General features: G+C 34.1%; 1 protein-coding gene across 1 annotated transcript; it reads left to right on the plus strand.

Moving 5' to 3' along the window:
- Positions 1–5288: 5288 nt before the first annotated feature.
- Positions 5289–17661, plus strand: PRR27 (proline rich 27). Its single transcript, NM_214711.4, has 5 exons — positions 5289–5478; positions 7106–7129; positions 9380–9952; positions 12638–12682; positions 13747–17661. The coding sequence occupies exons 1-4, from the start codon at positions 5428–5430 to the stop codon at positions 12647–12649; spliced, it is 660 nt and encodes a 219-aa protein (NP_999876.2). The 5' UTR covers positions 5289–5427; the 3' UTR covers positions 12650–12682; positions 13747–17661.
- The last annotated feature ends 4049 nt before the right edge of the window (positions 17662–21710 follow it).

Genomic DNA, 21710 nt, shown 5'->3' on the forward strand with positions numbered 1-21710 from the left:
AACATTCACAATTTGCCAAAGATGCTCCAGATTCAAGTTTATCACACTGGTATAGATATATGACTAAATATTTTCCCTGTAATTGAAGGAGATTAGGAAAATATTAAAACACAAACATTATAAAAATCTGCCAATTAGTTGCATACTTATGGCAACATATTTAGTAACATATCTTTGCAGAATGTTTCTCTTGTAAATTAAATCCCTTGACATTTTCAAGAGCATAGCTGTCCATCACGGATGAAAAGGCACCTTATTTCCATGACTACAAATAGCAGGACATGTTCTGTTCCATCGGTCTTCTAAAATCACTGTTTGTGGATTGAGAGATTGTGTCTAACAAAAGAAGTTACTCATATGCTTATCGTCTGTTCTTTTTTCAACTGTCAGACACAAACTACTGATTCCCTATCTTGTTAATCACAAAATAATGAGCTTAACAATACCTATTTTTTAGTATTTCATTCTCAAATAAGGGATCAATTAAGTTTAAACAAAGCTTTTCAACTTCTTCATTTACAAAACCCTAGTGCCTTTGGAGCTTTACATTACAAATGCCTTATATTAATGATGTCCTTATATGATTACTTTTAATGGCAAAAACTGCAATTACTTTTGCACCAACCTAATACTTTTTATCTACTGGGTTGCATTTCTCATATATTTCTGGGCCTATAACAATACTCACAAACTATCGTTTAAATGACTGAAAGAAGAAAACAAGAAAGAAAGTAAAGAAGGGAGGGAGGAAAAAAAGAAAAAAAAATGAAGAAAGGAATGAATATAAGGGGAAAATAGAAAAAAAGGCAAAACTATGGGAATGAAAAACTACTAAGTGGTTGCTAGAGTTGAGGGAAAGGAAAGACATTGTTAGTTTTTTTTGTTTTTTTTACTACAGAGGGGCCACACATGGGAAATGTTAGCATGATGGAACCCTTACATATGATAAAGTAGTGGTGAATATACAACCACATACATTTGCCAAAACATATAGAAGGCTTAAGGTTTAAGAGTGAATATTGCTAATTGCAAATTAAAAATAGAAGTAAACCAAGATGTTGCAGCAACCTAAGACAGAATGCAGCCTGTGACAAATAAATCCAACAGTATATATAAATATATGGCATAGCCTCACCAATGCGGGTAGGAGTAAAGGAGTAAGCTAGGAAACTTCAGGAAACATCATCTTGACTGGATGTTGTAACAACAAAAAAAATAATATTTGCTAATTTCATTGAGACATTCTCTTTGACTTATAGGCTATCTAAAAGCATGATGCTTCGTTTCCTCATTTTTGGTAATTTTTAAGATATATTTCTGTTATTGACACATAGCTTAATTACATTGGACTGACAAAATACTTCTTATTATTTCTATTTTTAAAAATGTATTCAGGTGTGTTTTATGGCCCTAAATATGGTCTATCTTGGCATATGTTCCATGTGACTTTCAGAAGAATGTGTATTCTATTGTTGTTCAGTGGAGTGATCTATGAATGTCAATTAGAGCAAATTGGTTGATAGTGTTGTTCAAATCATTTTTTTTCTCTTACTGGTTTACTCCCTCAGTTTTTGTCTGAGAAAATATTTCTCCTTCACTTTTGAGGAATATATTTCCTGGACCTAGAATTATGTGTTGACAGTATTATTTCATTACATTTAAGATTTTACTATTTTCTTCTTTCTTGCATGGTTTCTGACATGCAAATTACATACCGTAATTCTTAACCTTATTTTTCTGTAGATAATCAGTCTTTTTTTTTCTGTTGCTGTCTTCAAGATTTCTCTTTGTCTTTGGTTCCCAGCAGTTTCAATACAATATGCTGTATATGTGTGTGTATGTGTGTGTGTGTGTAGAATTTATTCCTAATGTTCTCAGGGTATCTTGCATTGGTGCTTTTAGTTTCTGCCCATAATTTTGGAAAGTTTTTGACCACTATTTCTTTAAACGTGTTCTGCTTTGCTCTTTTTTCTCCTAGGATTACAAATGTTAGAGAATTTGCTATTTTTCAATTTGTGTTTCAATTTGGTGATTTCTACGACATATCCTCAGGGTCTCTAATCCTTTCCTAGGTTGTGTCAAGTCTATCGATTAGCCAGTCAAATGAATTCTTTTTCTCTGTTAGTAAATTTTTATTTATAGCATTTCTAGTTATTGTTACAGTTTCCTTCTCTGTGCTGAAATTATCTATGTGATCTTGAATCTCATCTATCTTTTTCTTCAGAATATTTAGTATAATAATCAGTTATGTTAAATTCCCTGCTCGAGAGTTTCAACATCTGTGTAACAACTGACTCTTGTTCTGATTATTGCTTTTTTAAAAATCTTCAGACCTTGCTTATACCTTTCTGTGTGTCTTGTGATTTTTTTATTGAATGCCTGATTTATGGTATAGTCATTAGATAAACATGAGCCCACTTTCTTTCTACGAGGGCCTTAGTATAGGGGGGTTGTGTTAATCTAGTCCACAAGAGAGGAAATTAAATACTTAGACAAAAGGATTTTGTCACTCCTGACAAACAACACTGAACCTAGTATATGACCTAAGAAGGTATCCAGCTAAATTACTTCACGTTACTCTGATGTATGACGTGTGCACTGACAACCATTAGTATGCCTCAATTATTCTTTGATATAACATATTACTAGTGTTGTTAGGTTGTCAGTAATAAATTCACAGGATAGAAGGGTTCTTTCAGCTTCTAATATTTGTTTCCATTAGCTAATTCATGTTTATAATGCTAATACAGGAAGAGAAACCACACCATTGTTTAAAAATATATTTATGTTATTCTATTACATGCTTAACATAAAATGAAGTAATGCATAACCTTTCTTCATCATAATTTCCAATTGATGTCAAAACAAAGTCAAGTAATGAATATTTGCAAAGTCAATTTAGGAATTAAGCTTAATGTAGTTCCTAAATTTGTCTTTATTGTCATTTTATGGGAATAATTTCCCTATTTTTATGGTTCTCTGAAATGAAGGAAGTAATTCACAGCCAAATCAGTCAAATTCATAGGTTTTTAAATTATTTTTCTCAGAGTCAATGCTAATTTGTTTCAAAATGAAAGAGTAAACATTAAGTTAGGGACTTATAAATATCCCTGGAAAGAAAGGGAGTGAGGCACATTGTCCACGTCAAGACCAAGAGCTGCATCCACTAGTTTGCACCCTGGAAACAAGGTATGCTTTTTTTTATGTTAAGATGTTCCCATTTTAAAAATTTCTCTAGTGGGTGCAGCGCACCAGCATGGCACATGTATACATATGTAACTAACCTGCACAATGTGCACATGTACCCTAAAACTTAAATAAAATAAATAAATAAATAAATAAATAAATAAATAAATAAAAAGAAAATGCACAAACCATAACAAAAATAAAATAAAAATAAAAATTTTTCTACCAGATTTCAGTCAGATGGACTTTAATAGCATACTTGTAAATGCATGGCATATTTATATTATTTCATAGTTTCCAGAGATTGATGACACAATCTAGTCTGTATAAATCTAGTCCACCTCACACCTGAGTTCTCACTTTAACACTGTATGAGGCAAGACTTAGCAAAGAAATTTTTTTTTCCCTACATTCAGACTGGACTCAAGAATTCACATAAACCCTAGAAAAAACAGATCAGTTCTGTTCATAAAGCCTCATGTGCTTCTGAAGAACTGAAAAATAGGGTCAGGTAAGTCTGTCTCATTTAACATGCTATTTCAAGAAAAAGATAAAGAAGGAAAAGGATAATGAAACACTTTTTATTAAATTGTGTGTCAGTGAAAACCTGATGTACAATATCAAAGATCACTAAAGCAAAGGTCACTCAGTATGTGGTCAAAGCCATGTTGAACAGGTAAGCAGCTTAGCCAAGATTAAAAATATGTTTCGAGGAATATGATGATTTTTTTCCAGCCTAGATTTTGTAAGGATTAGGTAGGAAAGAATCCACAATCTTATCAAAAAAAACTTGGAAGTTCATTATATTACTAGAATATACATAGTATATAAGCAATACATTCTCACTTCACAAAAAATAGACTACAGAAAATGAAAGAAAAATATACAAATAATTATAAAAACAAACTGATCTTCTAATTCATAACTCATTAAATATTTTACCAATACTCATGTTCTTATCTACTACTTTTTTATTTTAAATTAGTTTCCTGTCATATATAAAGTTGGTGCTCTTTTTATAGTGCTACAAGTCTCTAGAGTAGGAATATTATTCTTGTTTCTATTTGCTGTTTTAGTTATTTATTTGTATTTATTTACTTATTTTATAATTTTAACTTCTATTTTAGATTCAGGGGCTACATGTGCAGGTTTGTTACATGGGTATATTGCATGATGCTGAGGTTTGGGGTATGGATGGATCCCTTCACCCAGGTATTGAGCATAGTACCTAATAGGTAGTTTTTCAGCCCACTTCCTCTCCTTCCTCCCTCCACTAGTATTCCCCAGTGTCTCATATTGCCATCTTTATGTCCACATGTACTTAATGTTTAGCTCCCAGTTATAAGGGAGAACACGAATATTTGGTTTTCTGTTCCTGCATTATTAATTTACTTATGACAATGACCTCCAACTGTATTCATGTTACTGAAAAGGACATGATTTTATTCTCTTTATGGCTTATCTTTGCAATATTTAATATTTAAATATTCATTTAGCAATATATTATGAACCTAATATGATTATTCTTAACAAAACTTTTTGTTGGGATTTAATATTTTTCACATTATGAGATTCTAAATAATGCTATAAGTGTCCTTGTATATGCAATTTTTCGGTACAAGTGGAGATATTTTGGCTTTGAAGAAATAAGAAGCCATACACTTTAATAATCAATCAGTTGGAGAATGGTTTTAGGTTCTCTGAAGAAAACTGAGCCTAATCAAGACACACACCTGAGAATATGCCTTCTCCACTATTCTTCAGAAATAGAGAAAAAAAATTACGATCAAGTTTAAGATTAGAAATTTTTCTAAGTAGGTGATACCAATCTCCCACTGAATTCATAAAAACAAAACATTAAGAAGCACCCATAGAATGGTGACATTTAAGCAATTTTATTTCCTGGTAAGACCTCCAAAATAAATTAATTGCAAAATATGTCCCTGGGGAGCTAAATGAGTTGACATCTACTTTTAGACATTTCAGTTGGAAGTCAATTAACTGTTGAACGGTATCTGCTAATATATATTTATATTGGCTTTAGTGACATTCCTGTTAAGGTATACAGACAGTAGTTAAATAGCAGGGCCAACTATTCTGTTAAGGGTCTTCCTAGACAGACTAAAAAAGCCATGTATTCTTTCGTTTCTCTCTAAAAGAAGAAAAATATAATTTAAAAATACATTGCGTATTTTCTAAAACAATAAATTTATAGTGTTAATATTCATAGGGTCAATCAAAATGAAGCTTCTCCTTTGGGCCTGCATTGTATGTGTTGCTTTTGCAAGGAAGGTAAGTAAATGGACTTCCAAAATTGTAACAATTGTATAACCATTTGCTAATTGTTTATAGGCATTTGTGCTTATGATAAAGTACTATAGTGTTTGTAATAAAGCAGCAGAGAGACATAGATGGACATGAGATTTGTAGTGTCAGACTTTTCAACGGAAAATTTAAAAATCAAAATAATAAAGTTGTAGTATCTGAAAATAGATAAACAGCAAGGAAAGGAGGTAAGTTCATAAATGTAGGAGGCTGGAGGAGGAAAAATTATAGAAAAGCAGGATCCCACGTAGATTATCTTAACAGAGTTTATCTCTTCAAATTATAGAATGCTGGATTGGGCTTCCTATGGCTGTGAAGTGCCATTGCTGGAGGTATTTATGTACAGACATTAGGGATACTTGATGGAATAGAAGTAAATGCACATCATACCTTTAGTGGACTGTAACGTAATATAGTGTAATGCAATGGCCTTTAGTGTAACATAAGTAGATGAAACTCTAATGTAAGACAAATCTGATGGCAAATTCTTAATCCTAGCCAGTGACTATGCTAAATATTATCTTTTTTTAAATGGAGAAAATAATAACACCTACACCATAACATTGTTTTAAAGATTTTATAAGGTAATTATATAAAGTGCTTAGCAGAGTACCTCAGGTATGGTAGAAACTCAACTGCTACTTGATACCATTTGCTATTGATGTTATTATCATCCTGTCCAAACTTTAAACTATTATTTTTGTTCCCTAAAATTAGATAAATGAAGCTCCAATTCTTAAAATAATAAGTGATGATTTTCCTGTACTTTTTATTTTTATTCTGTAGTTCATAATCTGTGGTCAATTCACAAACCATATTGAAGCTTCATTGGAGAACAAATGGATCTATGGTCCTTCTGGTACTGTGAAGAGGTGGCAAAGACCACTCTTTTTTTTGTTGTATGTTTGTGGTTTTTTTTTTTTTGAGACGGAGTCTCGCTCTGTAGCCAGGCTGGAGTGCAGTGGCGCGACCTGGGCTCACTGCAAGCTCCGCCTCTCGGGTTCACGCCATTCTCCTGCCTCACTCAGCCTACCCAGTAGCTGGGACTACAGGCGCCCGCCACCACGCCCGGCTAATTTTTTGTATCTTTAGTAGAGACGGGGTTTCACCGTGTTAGCCAGGATGGTTTCGATCTCCTGACCTCGTGATCCGCCCCCTCGGCCTCCCAAAGTGCTGGGATTACAGGCGTGAGCCATTGCGCCCGTCGCAAAGGCCACACTTTAACACACAGATGCACACACACACACACACACACACCAGACAAAACCTGGGAGGTAAAAAGTGAATAGCAAAATCAGATATATGAATGAGAGCTGAATGATCTTTCAGATGATAAAGATTTATGTACATGTTGAATATTACAAACCAAAATCCATCCAGCCAAAGTAAAACTCCCTGAGGAAATTGTTTAGGTCAAAACCATGTAATGATAATGATGACGATGATAAAAAAAAATTCATATTAGTTACTCAAATTTCAAAAAAATTAACCATAAGTATTATTAAGCTTTGCAAATTTTTCAGCAATATGGAAATGTAGGTGCAGATGTTTTCAAATACATAACCGCATTAAAATATATTTTTCTTTATTTTAGAGACGGTTCCCCTTCATTGGTGAGGTAAAACTTTTTTTTCTTTACACGCAAGTATATTTGTTTTTATCTTAAAATATATTTTACATTTTAAAACTCTCTGATTTCTTTACAGTGAAACTTAATGACTGCTATTGCTCTTAAAATAATAGTGCTATTAAACTCTTCCGATTTGATAGAAAATATTTATGGAATATGTTTGTGTTCAACATATTTAGCAAAAGGTCTTTAGTCTTTTTAATGAGCAAAAGCATTAAGTGCACTCCCTTTGCAGCTTAAGAAAATTTTTGCCATGCCAAGGTTTTCCCCTCATGCCTCTATTATACATTGTCAGTATGTCCTAAGTTCATTTGAACAAACTTAGTGATGAATCTGGAGATGCTCTGTCTGCATGAAGGGTTAGAGCAAGAGAAAGCATGAAGTAGTGGGCCAGCCATATATTCAGGTGTGTGTCTTCAAGCTAGGAACCACTAGCAGGAGGAGTGTGTCCCAATGAGTTAGATGATTTCTGTGTAGCAAATACCCATAAATTATCTCTATGAGACCAAAGCACATACTGATTAACTGATGTTAGATGTTTTTTTCAGTTCCTTGCTACTTGTGCCTCAATTTCTGGCAACAGAAGACTACTAAGAAAATTACACTTACACCTATCCACCAGTATGCCATAAATCAACATGACACTCTAGCAAAGAAAGCTCAAGAGACATAATCTGTGATGTGCACACTTTTGACCAACAATGATCAGACATATAACGAAGGAGTAGAAATCTTTTGGAAATAATGTTTTAAAATAGAAATATTATTAGGTATTATTTTGAATTTTTTTTTGCATCATTTTACTTATTTTTTTATTATACTTTAACTTTTAGGGTACATGTGCACAACGTGCAGGTTTGTTACATATGTATACATGTGCCATGTTGGTGTGCTGCACCCATTAACTCGTCTAATGAGTTAATATTTAAGTCCTCAGATTCTAGGGCTCTATGATCCACAATGCAAATAATTGATATTTGCCTCTATGAACACCTGGGGACATATATTACTTATGTATATATGTCATACCTCAGGGGGCTCTGGCAATATGACTCGTGAGAAAAATTTAACTCAGTAATTCAGGAAACTTACCTAAAATTGGAAAAAAATTAAATGTTAATTAAGAAGCTTGACTGGCTGGGGAATGTAGCATCCCAGACACAAGAAGAAAGAAACCTTGTCTGTTTTCCAGTATGTAGGATCCCCTAGCACAGAGATGGCACAGAGAAGGTACACATTTTATACTTTTAAAAATAAATCACAGAACTTCCATCAAGAAAAACCTTAAAATATCTCAAAGACCCTGAGGGACAATCTACATTTATTGAGAAACTTCTCAGTATTGTATATTATTATATATAATAATAATATTATATACAATAACATTAACATCTACATCCAGTCTGCTCACTGTCTTGTTTATTTATTTTTATTTATATATATTTTTTGAGACAGAGTCTCACTCTGTTGCCAGGCTGGAGTGCAGTGGCCTGATCTCAGCTCACTGCAACCTCTGCCTTCCAGGTTCAAGCAATTCTCCTGCTTCTGCCTCCCAAGTAGCTGGGACTACAGGCGCCCGCCACCACGCCCAGCCAATTTTTTTGTATTTTTAGCAGAGTTGGAGTTTCACCATGTTGGCCAGGACGGTCTCGATCTCTTGACCTCGTGATCCGCCCTCTTCGGCCTCCCAATCTGCTCACCCTCTTAATGAAAATTTGAGATGCACAGTGTTAAAGGAAGGGAAGCATTGATAAAGAGAGGTAGGAAGTTGAGAAAGATAAGTCTGGAATATGGGACACCTGGAAGAGGAATAATGAAGCAGAGGCTTCAGTGGACACTTTAGAGACCCAGAGAGTGCTGAGCGCAGTGGGAAAGACAATGGAGGGTGCAGAGAAGAAGGCCCGGAGCTACTAATCTCATAATCCTGTATCAATCCTAAAAGTGCGAGTGCTTTCCTTCTATCTTTGTCCTGGCCTAGGTTAGCATATTCTGTGGACTATAACACTCTTATTTGCTTAAACACAAAATATTTCCTCCTCAGTTGGAGTTTATTCAATTTTCTTAAGAGATTATTACTTCTTACTTCAAAAATATGGAAGTACACTAGACTTAAGAAAGATAAGACATTGGAATTCTTTCAAAATATCATTACTTATCATATATCATCACAGTTGTACCATAAGTAATATATAGACAGGACAAATACAATCAACTTCGACTTCTTTGTTTCTCCTTTAGGATGACAATGACGATGGTCACCCACTTCATCCATCTCTGAATATTCCTTATGGCATACGGAATTTACCACCTCCTCTTTATTATCGCCCAGTGAATACAGTCCCCAGTTACCCTGGGAATACTTACACTGACACAGGGTTACCTTCGTATCCCTGGATTCTAACTTCTCCTGGATTCCCCTATGTCTATCACATCCGTGGTTTTCCCTTAGCTACTCAGTTGAATGTTCCTCCTCTCCCTCCTAGGGGTTTCCCGTTTGTCCCTCCTTCAAGGTTTTTTTCAGCAGCTGCAGCACCCGCTGCCCCACCTATTGCAGCTGAGCCTGCTGCAGCTGCACCTCTTACAGCCACACCTGTAGCAGCTGAGCCTGCTGCAGGGGCCCCTGTTGCAGCTGAGCCTGCTGCAGAGGCACCTGTTGGAGCTGAGCCTGCTGCAGAGGCACCTGTTGCAGCTGAGCCTGCTGCAGAGGCACCTGTTGGAGTGGAGCCAGCTGCAGAGGAACCTTCACCAGCTGAGCCTGCTACAGCCAAGCCTGCTGCCCCAGAACCTCACCCTTCTCCCTCTCTTGAACAGGTAGGTTGTTTATATCTTACCACTATAATGTATGAGAAATGAGATTTGTAGAAGGGGAAAAAAAAAAACCACTCCCCAAGCAAATCTATATCAACTTAAATATTTTGAACAGCTTTATTCAGATACAATTGACATACCACAAACTACACATATTGAAAGTGTATACTTAGATATGTTTTGACATATGTATACACTCATGAAAAGAGTTACCAGGATGGGGAATGTGTCTACTACAGTCAAAAGTTTCCTCCTGTTCCTCTGTAATCCCACATTCCCCATCCTCCCATCCCTGGGCTGTTTTTTGTCACTACAAATTGGTTTGCATTTTCTAGAATTTTACGTAAGTGGAATAATATTGTATGTACTCTTGTGTCAGACATCATTCACTTTTAGAGATTTATCCATGAAGTTGTATTTACTAATAGTTTGGTTCTTTGCAGATTATTATTTTATTATACAGATACGCCGTAATTCATTTACCCATTCATCTGTTGAACAGATTTTAGCTTCCAAACTGGATGCATTTATTTACTTATTGCATGCTTTAATGGCTTAAACATCCAGTACAATGTCAAATAAAAGTGATTAGATGGACATCCCTGCTCAGTTCCTAATATTAGGGGAAAGCATTAAGTTTTTTAACATATCTTTACACACACACATGCACATGTATATGTACCTACATACCCTCCTCCTCCTGAGGCCATGTATACATTGTACCCACATATTATTATATCTATAACATACACAACGTGTACATAATGTGTATATGTAGTACACACATATATGTGTGTATGGACATACATGTTCATGAGCTTTATTCTGGAATGCTATTAGGTTAGTATGCTTTTACACTTTATTAAACAGGAACGGATAAATGTTTTTATCCAAGGCTAATTTTTCCTTTATTGAGATCAAATTATTCTGAGTGCTCAAACTTATGTCCAGTGAATTTTGTGGTTTTTCACTCTGGCTGGTGGGATCAAGAACTTTTTCCTGCCCTAGTACCAATTGTGAGTACCAATTGTTGTTCTATTCTGTCCTTTCAGGTAGTTCTCTACCTGACCTCAGGTCATATCTTCATATAATTAATCAATACTCATTGAAATGTGAGCATATCCTCTTTTTAAAAAAAAAATTCATCTTTTATTTTAGATACAGGGATTACATGGGGTACATATGCAGATTTGTTACATGGGAATATGGTGTGATGCTGAGGTTTAGAGAATGGATCCCTTCTCCCTGGTAGTGAGCACACTACCCAAGAGGTAGTTTTATAACCCAGCCCTAACCACCACCTTCTAGTAGGCCACAGTGTTCCTTGTTCCTATATTTATGTACATGTGTGCTCAATGCTTAGCTCCCATTTATAAGTGAGAACACAGATATCTAGATCTTTGTATCTACATCTTTGTGGCCTGTTTTCCCATCAGGTACTCTGCCTGTAAACGTCAGCTATCTTGACCTTCCTGGCTCCATCTACTTAACTCAGAGAATCTTCTGGGACTTTCTCTCTCTCTCTCTCTCTCTCTCTCTCTCTCTCTGTGTGTGTGTGTGTGTGTGTGTGTGTGTGTTTTCCCTTGCACCAAGCCATGGAAACTCACTCCAGGCAGTATGCTAGGACAATCATAGAGACCACCTACCTTGCTTCCTGTCTCTTAGTGATTACTATTTTACACAGCCTGATATTTAGATCTTGAAAAATTGTTCCTTCTCATTTTTCTTCTCATGTTTGCACATTATTTTTGTTTTGAGCAAGAGAGTAAATGCAGTTTCTATTATTCATCTTGAACTTTAGCTTTAGCGAAGTTTACTAAACTTTTAGAAAAACAATTGTTTTCAGACAAAAAAAAAAATGTAAGAAGCAGCTAGTCCCTAAATTTTAGTAGATATGACCCAAGGAATTAGGCTATTTTACCAAAGGGAAACCATGATTCTGAACTACATAGAAGATACTCTGAACCCTGGCAAGAGGCTAAAAACAAATGGAAGTTTAAATCCACCAATGAATTATTTATGCAGCACATTGCCACCACTTGGAAAGCTCTAGTAGTTGTTACCTAGAAGGAGATAAGAACTCTTTTTCTTTTAAGATATTCACCAAGGGGTTACATTCAATGGTGTTTGCAGCTTCTCTAGAGAGGTATGATGAGCCAGGCTTGTTCTCCAATGCTTCCAATGCTTCACACATTAAATATGTTCATTCAGTAGATTTGACACAAGCACTTTCCATCTGCTGGGGTATTATGAACACTGTATATATATATATATATATATATACACACATACATATATATACACGTATACATATATATATATATATATATATATATACCTGTAGCTCATGGTTCACATGACAGTAGAAGGAAATGATAGAAAGTGAAGATAAAAAGAAATAGAACCTGATAAGAAGGGACCTTGAAAACACTGCTCAATACCTTGGACTTCATCCTGTAGCCAAAGCAATTTATTAGGGACCTTCACTGAGAGGAGTGATTCAACCAGTTCTCTGTTTCAGAAAGCTAAATCTAGTAGCAGTATAGAATATTTTAAACATGTTAAGAAGAGATCAGCAAAACACAACTTCTCAGAGAAGAAAGGTTATTTAGAAAAGATAGGCCCAATACTATGAAATAAAGTACATTTGATTGTTTATGAAAAGATCTTTTTTTTAATGTTTTCTAGGCAAATCAGTGAAATTCTCTAGAAGAGTACCATGGGTTCATTTCTGTAAGTCATATGTGATAATATAATTTAGAAATTATAGATAAAGAGGTTAAATCTCATAATCTGAAGCTACCTTGGAATGTATTATATTTTTTACTACATGAAAATGAGAAAGTGGAGCTTAGAGAAGCACTGGTAGTTTGTGCCTCAGAACCTTTCAAACTATTAACTCATGTCTTGCGTAAGGAACTCAGGCTACTTTTGAACAAATAGCGAGTTCCTCCTTAAATTGATCCAAATTGATTATGACTTGAAGATTTTAAATTAACAGTAGTTAATATAGGTAAAAACCTTTAACGTGGGAAAAGAGGGTTGGACTATACATAGAAAGAGGCATTGTTTAAGTTCTTACAGATTATTCTGTATGCTATCCCTTCAGCCACCATCCTACCCCATATTAAGAACTACTGTTTTAGAAAACAAACAATTTAGACCTGAAGTCTCCCTGTCCCTACATTGTACCACCCAAAGGCACAAACAAACAGCTCAACTGGACTCACTGTGTCTTAGTCATCTGATCAGGGGATAAGCAAGAAACTTGGCCATCTTAATTTCAGGTTCTTCTCCTTCATCCCTTCTCAAAGATGTTCCAATTTTAATGTTTACCAGACAGGTAAATGACAAGGCTTTGACTGTCAGCCAAATCAAAGTTATTTCTGAGGTGACATCACTAGCTAAAGTAGAATTGAAAAGCAAATGTGATGGTATTTATTATTGTTGGTGATACCTCTTTACAGCAGCCATTGCCAAAGAAACTAAAAGATATCCATTTTTAGTTAAACCTTGACTATTGCTATATTCTTTGGTTTTCATTTATTTTACTTTTATGTTAAATGAACAATTGGCTAGTGAATTAGTTCAAGATATTAGATACACATAATAGTTTCATATATTCTGTAGCATTTGTATTTAGTATTTTGCCAAATAGCATGAATTTGTAGATAACCATTCATTATGGTCTTTTTGAAATAACATTAAAATCATAAATCAAGAAAAATAATTTTGCTTTAAGTGTGAGTCATTTGGTCATTTTATTATACTGAACCAATGTTATTTTCTTCTTTCAGATACTGATGCAGAAATAAGTGAAATCTACAAAAGTTTTCTTTCTTTTCCAAAGACTATTTCATTCTGTTGTATTCAGAGTATTCATCTCACTACATTGATTTGTTTGTGGTAGTTTTTCCTTGGACTTAATTTATATTGAAAAAACATTGATAATTAAATAAATAAAATAGATAATTTAGACCAATGGTGATAAGGTCTGGATGAAAACTACGCTATGGAGGACTGAAATGGCAATCATTCAGCCTAGCCTGGAGTCTGATTATACAGCTACTATAGGATGATGTTAGTATTGGTTTTGAGTGCAATAGGTTTTTTCCTAAACAAACATATTTTGTAGTCAATGAACTTTTTGTCACAAAACAGTAAAACATCTGTGTTTAACCTATGGTAAACAACATGTTAATGAACTATGCTATCCATGACTTAATGGACAGTTCAAATGTGACATCTACAGTTTTTCATTTCTCTTTTATGCCAGCACACAATCAATTCATCACCAATTGTCATTTGATTTACTTCAAAAAATATACCCCCAAATCCTAATACTTCTAACCTTCTCCACTGCATCTAGCCAACTCTAGCTATTGTCATCCCTAACAGAAATGGAGGAATAGCCTCTTTTTTTTTTTTTTTTTTTGAGACGAAGTCTCACACTGTTGCACGGCTGTAGTGCAATGGTGCCAACTCAGCTCACTGCAACTTCCACCTCCCGGGTTCAAGTGATTCTCCTGCCTCAGCCTCCTGAGTAGCCGGGATTACAGGTGTGTGCCACCACGCCTGGCTAATTTTTTGTAATTTAGTACAGACAGGGGTTCCCTATGTTGGCCAGGATGGTCTTGATCTCCTGACCTCATGATCTGTCCGCCTCGGCCTCCCAAAGTGCTGGGAATACAGGCGTGAGCCACCGTGCCCTGCCAGAATAGCCTATTAACCAGTCTACCTGCTTCCACTTTTCCTCCACCCTGATCACATACACACATGCATTATCCACTGAGCAGTCACAATCAGATGTTAAACCAAACATTATTCAGATAAGATCTCTGAAAAGCCTCTGATACTTTCTCTTTTAAAATGGAATATATTCTAAACACCTCTCCAAGGACACAAGACTTACCTTGTCTAACTAATGACTTTTCTAACTTCATTCCCTATCATTCTCCATCTTGCCCCATGCTCCTCATGCAGCAGCTTTTTTTTTTTTTTCCTTTTTCAAATATGTTGGTTTTGATCTTATCCAAGAACCTTTGCCCTGATGTATGAATGACTAACTGCTTTTCTACTTCGGGGGTCTCATATAGAAATCCTGCTTCAGAATACTCTTCCCTGAGCACTCTATCTAAATAAATCCCTCTTCTGCAACCCAGTGCTTTTTGTTCTATTACTGACTTCTTTTCCTTGTAGAAGTTACTATTACTGCTTTTTACCTTTTTATTTATTTGTGTATTGTCTTTGTTGTTGCCCTCATCTTATCTCCACAAAAATATATGCTCCATAAAAACAGGCATTTCTGTGTCTTATTCAGCACTTTATCAGGGCCTATAACAATGCCTGGGACATATTCAGTGACCAGTGAATATTTTTGGAAGGAAAGAAAAGAAGAAAGAATGAAGTAACAAACAAAGAATGAAGGAAGAAAAAATTTTTACAAACATTCAACATATTTTTATTTTGAAATAATTTTGTATTTTTCCCTATATCCTACATTGGATCAGAATATTACTGTTATGTATAGCCATGAGGACATGGTCTCAAAAAATGAGAAACTTTCTTAGACAGTAAAATTGTTAACTTGAGATGTTTGCTTCCATCTTCTAGAGCCAAGTAGGATCTAACTTTAATTTGACTTAGCCAATAATCTGAAACTATTATAGTATCTGTCTTTCACAGATACATGCAATATTCACTTCTAAATATTTAATGATAAATTTGTAATCATACATGATAGTCAATTTTAATGATTATGTTGTCAAAATTCAGGCTTTTTGTGTGAATTGAAGACTTAAAGAAGAATTTGTAAATATGACTGTATAAGAAACAACAGAAAGATGAAGATGAACCGAAATAGAAATATCAAGAGGCTACAAAGTCTTAGCAAATTATAATTGCTAATGGTACATTATGTGGTGTTTAGTATCACATTTAGAATGTAGTCATTTGTTAAGTTTTTCATGGGGTAAAAGAAAGAATTTATTCCAAGAAAATTTTGGAATTTTAAAAATAAACATGACATCTTATCATGAGAAACATTTACAGTTTTTGCTTTTACTACAAGATACTGTGAAATGTTCTGCTCTGTCAGTTGTGAAAGTATGAAATTTAAGTCTATCACTACAATAATATTTTGTTTTTAGTGTTCATTTTTTTCCTCCTGACTACATTGAGATGAGTTAGATTGAGTGAAAGGTAAACACTAACATTTGAATTGAGGTAATTTCCACTGTGGAAAACAAACTGTTGTTAGTAAACAGGCATCAGCTTTGAGACACAGAAAAGTCATCCAAACCAGAAGATTGGGAACTTCCTCAATTACTTTGTCTTCCATTTATTGCATTCAATTAGTCAAAAATGTTGTTAATTATACATTTTAAAGACTATTTTTGGTAAGGTCTATGACACATTCAAAATACTACATACAAGTTTGTATTATCATAAATAATCCAAAAGAAAACATACATGTAACCACCACCATCTGGAAATTTCACACTAAATTATAAAACATTTCCATCACTGCATGTATTGTTTAATGTCGCTTTATGAATCCACCTTCTTCCTTATCTGTAGAGTTAAAAACTACTTAGTGGATTAGGGTAATTCATTCTACTTTTAAAAATGATTTTTCCACCTCTAATGTATTCTATAAAATAATATTGTTCACTTTTGCCTATTTTTGAGCTTTTTATAGAAAAATGCTACTGCGAAATTATTTTGAGTCATATCTTTTGATCGATATTAAGATACATTTGCAGAGTTTTGTATGTGTGTTTATATCCATCTTACATAATTCTTTACTGTATAGCGTTCCCTTTAGCCACTGGAAAATGATATAATGTCATTGCTTACAGAAGGTGACTGATTCTTATTCAGTGCTACTTTCTACAGACAGGTAACTATTCGCATTTACGATTAAGAAATGTTCACACCTTCACACTGGTATCAACTGCAACAACCACTATACTTCTCCAGTGATTGCCAGATGGCCCACTATACATCCTTTCTTCTATTTCTTTCTTTTGTGGCCAGAAAGTCAGGACCTCAAAGAGGTATAAGTTTGTGTGTATAATTCCCTGGCTTTTTTCTAAAATTTTAGTATGCATTTATGTGGCACTTAATATATAAAAGAGTTTTATGAGTTTTAAAAATGTATATAAACAAGACATATAATAAATGGTATGTCATTTCACAATTTACTATTTTTACTCAACATTTATATTTCTGAGACTTTTCACATTTTTGAATGTATTCATAGTTTCACTTTAATTGATGTTTGCCATGAAAGATCAAATATATCACATTTTATTTGACTAAAAAGTAAACTATATTTCCTACATTATGCTATAGAACTTATAGACTAATTTAAGTTAATTATAGGCCTTATCTCAGACCTTTGCAAGTAGCCTGAATAAAACTTTTCATTATTTATATTATCACATGCATATATGTGTGTATGTATATATGTGTGCATGTGCATGCATAGTAAAAATCTTAACCCAAAACTGAAATAAAAAATTATAAGAGAAAATACTATTTTCCACCAATATCACAATGGATAATCTTTTTTAAATGACTACATATGTCGATAAGTTACAAAATCCATATATGAGTATGACACCAATAAGAACATTTTCTCTAACCATTTTGAATACGAATAACCATGGATTCTAATAGCAAACATTATTAAAATATTATTGAAATAACTAACTGAAGTAAGTCACTTTTTTTCTTGTTTTTAGTGGGGAGATGTTTGATGCAACTGTGATTCATTCAGTGAAGAGGTAGCACCATAACATTCTTACATTTAAGTATGTTTTAATGCTTTATGTTTTTTAATTCCACATGTGTGTATCCCAATTCTTAACTCTCAAAAATTATTTTATGAAAATTGGTGTAATAATTATGGTCACTATCAAAAAATTTAAGGTAATATTAACAGTATCTTCATTAACTTTAAAATTTTTAATATAAAGTAAGAAAATAGCGTCCTCCATTTCTTATTAAGCTGTATCTAGAGAAAATACAATAAGTAAATTCCTGTAACTTAAGGGCTGGAATTTAAATCAGAGTGTGTAAAAGGGCAACATGAATGCTAAATCCTACCTTCATGTTTTGATGCTTTTCCTTGATTGAAATGTTAATTTACTTATTTTTATTATATAACCAGATAATGGACCAATGGTACATGCAGTGTAGAAATACACCAGTGATATTTTAAAGTACCAAACTTCTCCACTTTTGCTGTGGCAATCCAGTGAGAAGACATCTTCTGTCATGTAATCTTTGTACAGATCTGCACAAGGAAATATATTCCTCTACAAGAATTATTTAGCCTAAAATGAATCTATGAAGTTATTATAAAATACAATAAGAAGTATAAAACAATACAGACATCCTTTCCAAAGCAAGTGCATGGATATCCTACATTTTAGTTACAGGGATAATTAGTGACTTTCCTCATTTAAAAAAGAAATTTCTATTCCAAGGATGTTTCTGCAATTATACCATTATTATATATTACCTAGTGCCATGAAACATTCTGAGAGGTATCAGAGGAGTTGAGAGATTCTTCAGTAGGGATAGGAGATACTGTTTCATGCAGCCAAAAAACACATGAAAAAATGCTCACCATCACTGGCCATCAGAGAAATGCAAATCAAAACCACAATGAGATACTATCTCGCACCAGTTAGAATGGCAATCATTAAAAAGTCAGGAAACAACAGGTGCTGGAGAGGATGTGGAGAAATAGGAACACTACTACACTGTTGGTGGGACTGTAAACTAGTTCAAACATTGTGGAAGTCAGTGTGGCGATTCCTCAGGGATCTAGAACTAGAAATACCATTTGACCCAGCCATCTCATTACTGGGTATATACCCAAAAGACTATAAATCATGCTGCTATAAAGACACATGCACACGTATGTTTATTGCGGCATTATTCACAATAGCAAAGACTTGGAACCAACCCAAATGTCCAACAATGATAGACTGGATTAAGAAAATGTGGCACGTATACACCATGGAATACTAATGCAGCCATAAAAAATGATGAGTTCATGTCCTTTGTAGGGACATGGATGAAATTGGAAATCATCATTCTCAGTAAACTATCGCAAGAACAAAAAACCAAACACCGCATATTCTCACTCATAGGTGGGAATTGAACAATGAGAACACACAGACACAGGAACGGGAACATCACACTCTGGGGACTGTTGTGGGGTGGGGGGAGGGGGGAGGGATAGCATCAGGAGATATACCTAGTACTAGATGACGAGTTAGTGGGTACAGCGCACCAGCATGGCACATGTATACATATGTAACTAACCTGCACAATGTGCACATGTACCCTAAAACCTAAAGTATAATAATAATAAAAAAAGAAAAAATAAATAAATAAAATTTAGTGTTAATACTGTTAAAAAAAAAGAATTTCTTCATCCACAGTCTTCATCACTTACCAATTTCTGGAAAAGTCAGGGTGGGAGTTTTTATCCTGCTTACCCACTGCCTATAGAACATATAAAGGGATCTGAGTAAAGCAAGGAAGGTTATATGAAAAACTTAGCACGTCTTCATGTAAAAAAGAACTGGTAGCAAATCCTGGTGAGCATTGAAAGAATATATTCAAAACATTCTTCCAGAACTGAAATCAGCAAGGCAGGAGTCAGAATGCCATTCTCATCATCAACACAGGCATTTTGTTTCTCATTTGCCTATTTTATCCTTAGAACTTAAGTGACCTTGATTTAAGTGATGATCATTTTGAACACCTACCTTCAGAAGAAAATTCACTGAATCCTCTGGCATACAACAGATCTTCATTTTTTAATCATCTTTTTAATAAATACAAGGTAACTTAAAATTTACCTGTGAATGTGATGGATCACTCTGGAATAATTTTCTGATAAATACAGTATTAAATTCAGACAAAATAATTGTGGTAGGCAATAGAATTTTGTGGATACAAAATACCAGATGCCGCAGTCAGATCAAGTGGGCCCATACCCCAGGATCAACACTTAGTAGCAAAGGTCATCCAAGGAAATTGCTGACTTTCCATATGCCTTCATTTTCTCATCTGTAAAGTGGAGATAACACTAGTATAGACCAATAGAATTTTAAGTATCATATGAAATTAAGTAAAACAGTAAGCATGTGATAAATATAATTATTATTGTTCCAAGATTTAAAAAAAATCAGCAGTTTCTCTTCTAATAAAACTCTTTATTACATAAATAAAACCATAAAAAAGATAATTAAGAATGAAAGAATAGTCATTTTTATCCTAGCTCTTTAATCTAACACATAAATAAAAATGAAATTCCAGATTCAGCATGCTTTCAGATACATATTAGCATCAACTTTCCCTTCTACCGATCAGCAGAAATAAACTCTCAAAAGCAAATATTAATTTTCTACTGTTTTCTAGGCATTCTTATCTGAACTAACACTTATATAATTTTTACAAGAGTCATTAGTATTGTCCATCTCATTTTATTTATGAGATGCAAAGGGCTAATTTGCCTGAAATCACGTTGTTAGCAGGTGACAGAAACTGCTAAATGCTTGCAGTAGCTGATGTCGTTGAGGTACCCAAATTTTCTCTTTGTGTTACTAGATTATGGAGTAATAAGTGAGATAATATATTTGCAACAAATAAACAAGTAAATGTCTAGTTCATGAAAGTGACCTGGTATTATAAAATTGCATATCAGCATTATGCTTTCCAGGGGTAACACGCTTATTTTTCTTAGTATCTCATTTTAAGAATTCTGTGTACATGCATTTGTCAAATGTACCATTATTCAGACATAAATCAATAATCACTGTATTATTTGTATAGATTCCTCATGCTATGGTAATAGATAGTTCTCAAAATATTGTGTCATATATGATATAAGATTATTTCTTCTTCACATCACTTCATATTCTAATGCAGGTATAATGTATGAATTTCATGTGCTACCTCTTGAACACATCACCTCCAAAGTTCCATATCAGAGTAAGAGAGAGATAGGGGAAAATACCAATTCTTATTGAATTGCTGTATTCAATGGCAATTGAATGGCACACACAACTTATCACAGCCCATTGGCCAGAACTAGACATATGCCTTCACACTACCTGCCAGGAAGTCTGGGAAATACAAAGGAGAAAGTGTAGCACTTACTCTCTCTACAATAGTATTGTGTCTATTAGTAATAGTGTGGGTGTGTGGGGAGGAGGGTGGAGATAATTTGGAGGGCAATCAAATCAAATTAATGAAACTTTTACTTTAAATTTTGAGTCATTATATATCGTATATATTCAAATTTTTGAATCCTGAAACATCTCCCTACAAAATACTGACTTGTATACTTCTAACAAATCAAAATCTTACTCAATACTCCTTACTCAGAAGTTTGGTCCTACTATGATAGCATCTGTGGATTACATCATGTACACTAACAGAAATGAATAACAAATGACTTTGGGATGTTAACTGCTTTGCTTTTACTAACAAATCTCTCTTGCAAGCATATAATTTATTGCTACCTTTTATTTCATTTTTCTAAGACTCACCTATAACAGTCAAGGTTATTTTTCCTTTGACTTGGCTAACTGTTAAGTCTCTGTTTTTACCAAATGTGTGTTACCAATGGTATCACACCCCTTACCACTCATCAAAAAATAACTAATTTATCCTGCAAAATAAAAGACTCAAAATCAAAAATCATAGACTTAAGTAATATATATAAAGGAAT

The sequence above is a fragment of the Homo sapiens genome, chromosome 4 (assembly GCF_000001405.40).
Source record: "Homo sapiens chromosome 4, GRCh38.p14 Primary Assembly".
Taxonomy (NCBI): domain Eukaryota; kingdom Metazoa; phylum Chordata; class Mammalia; order Primates; family Hominidae; genus Homo; species Homo sapiens.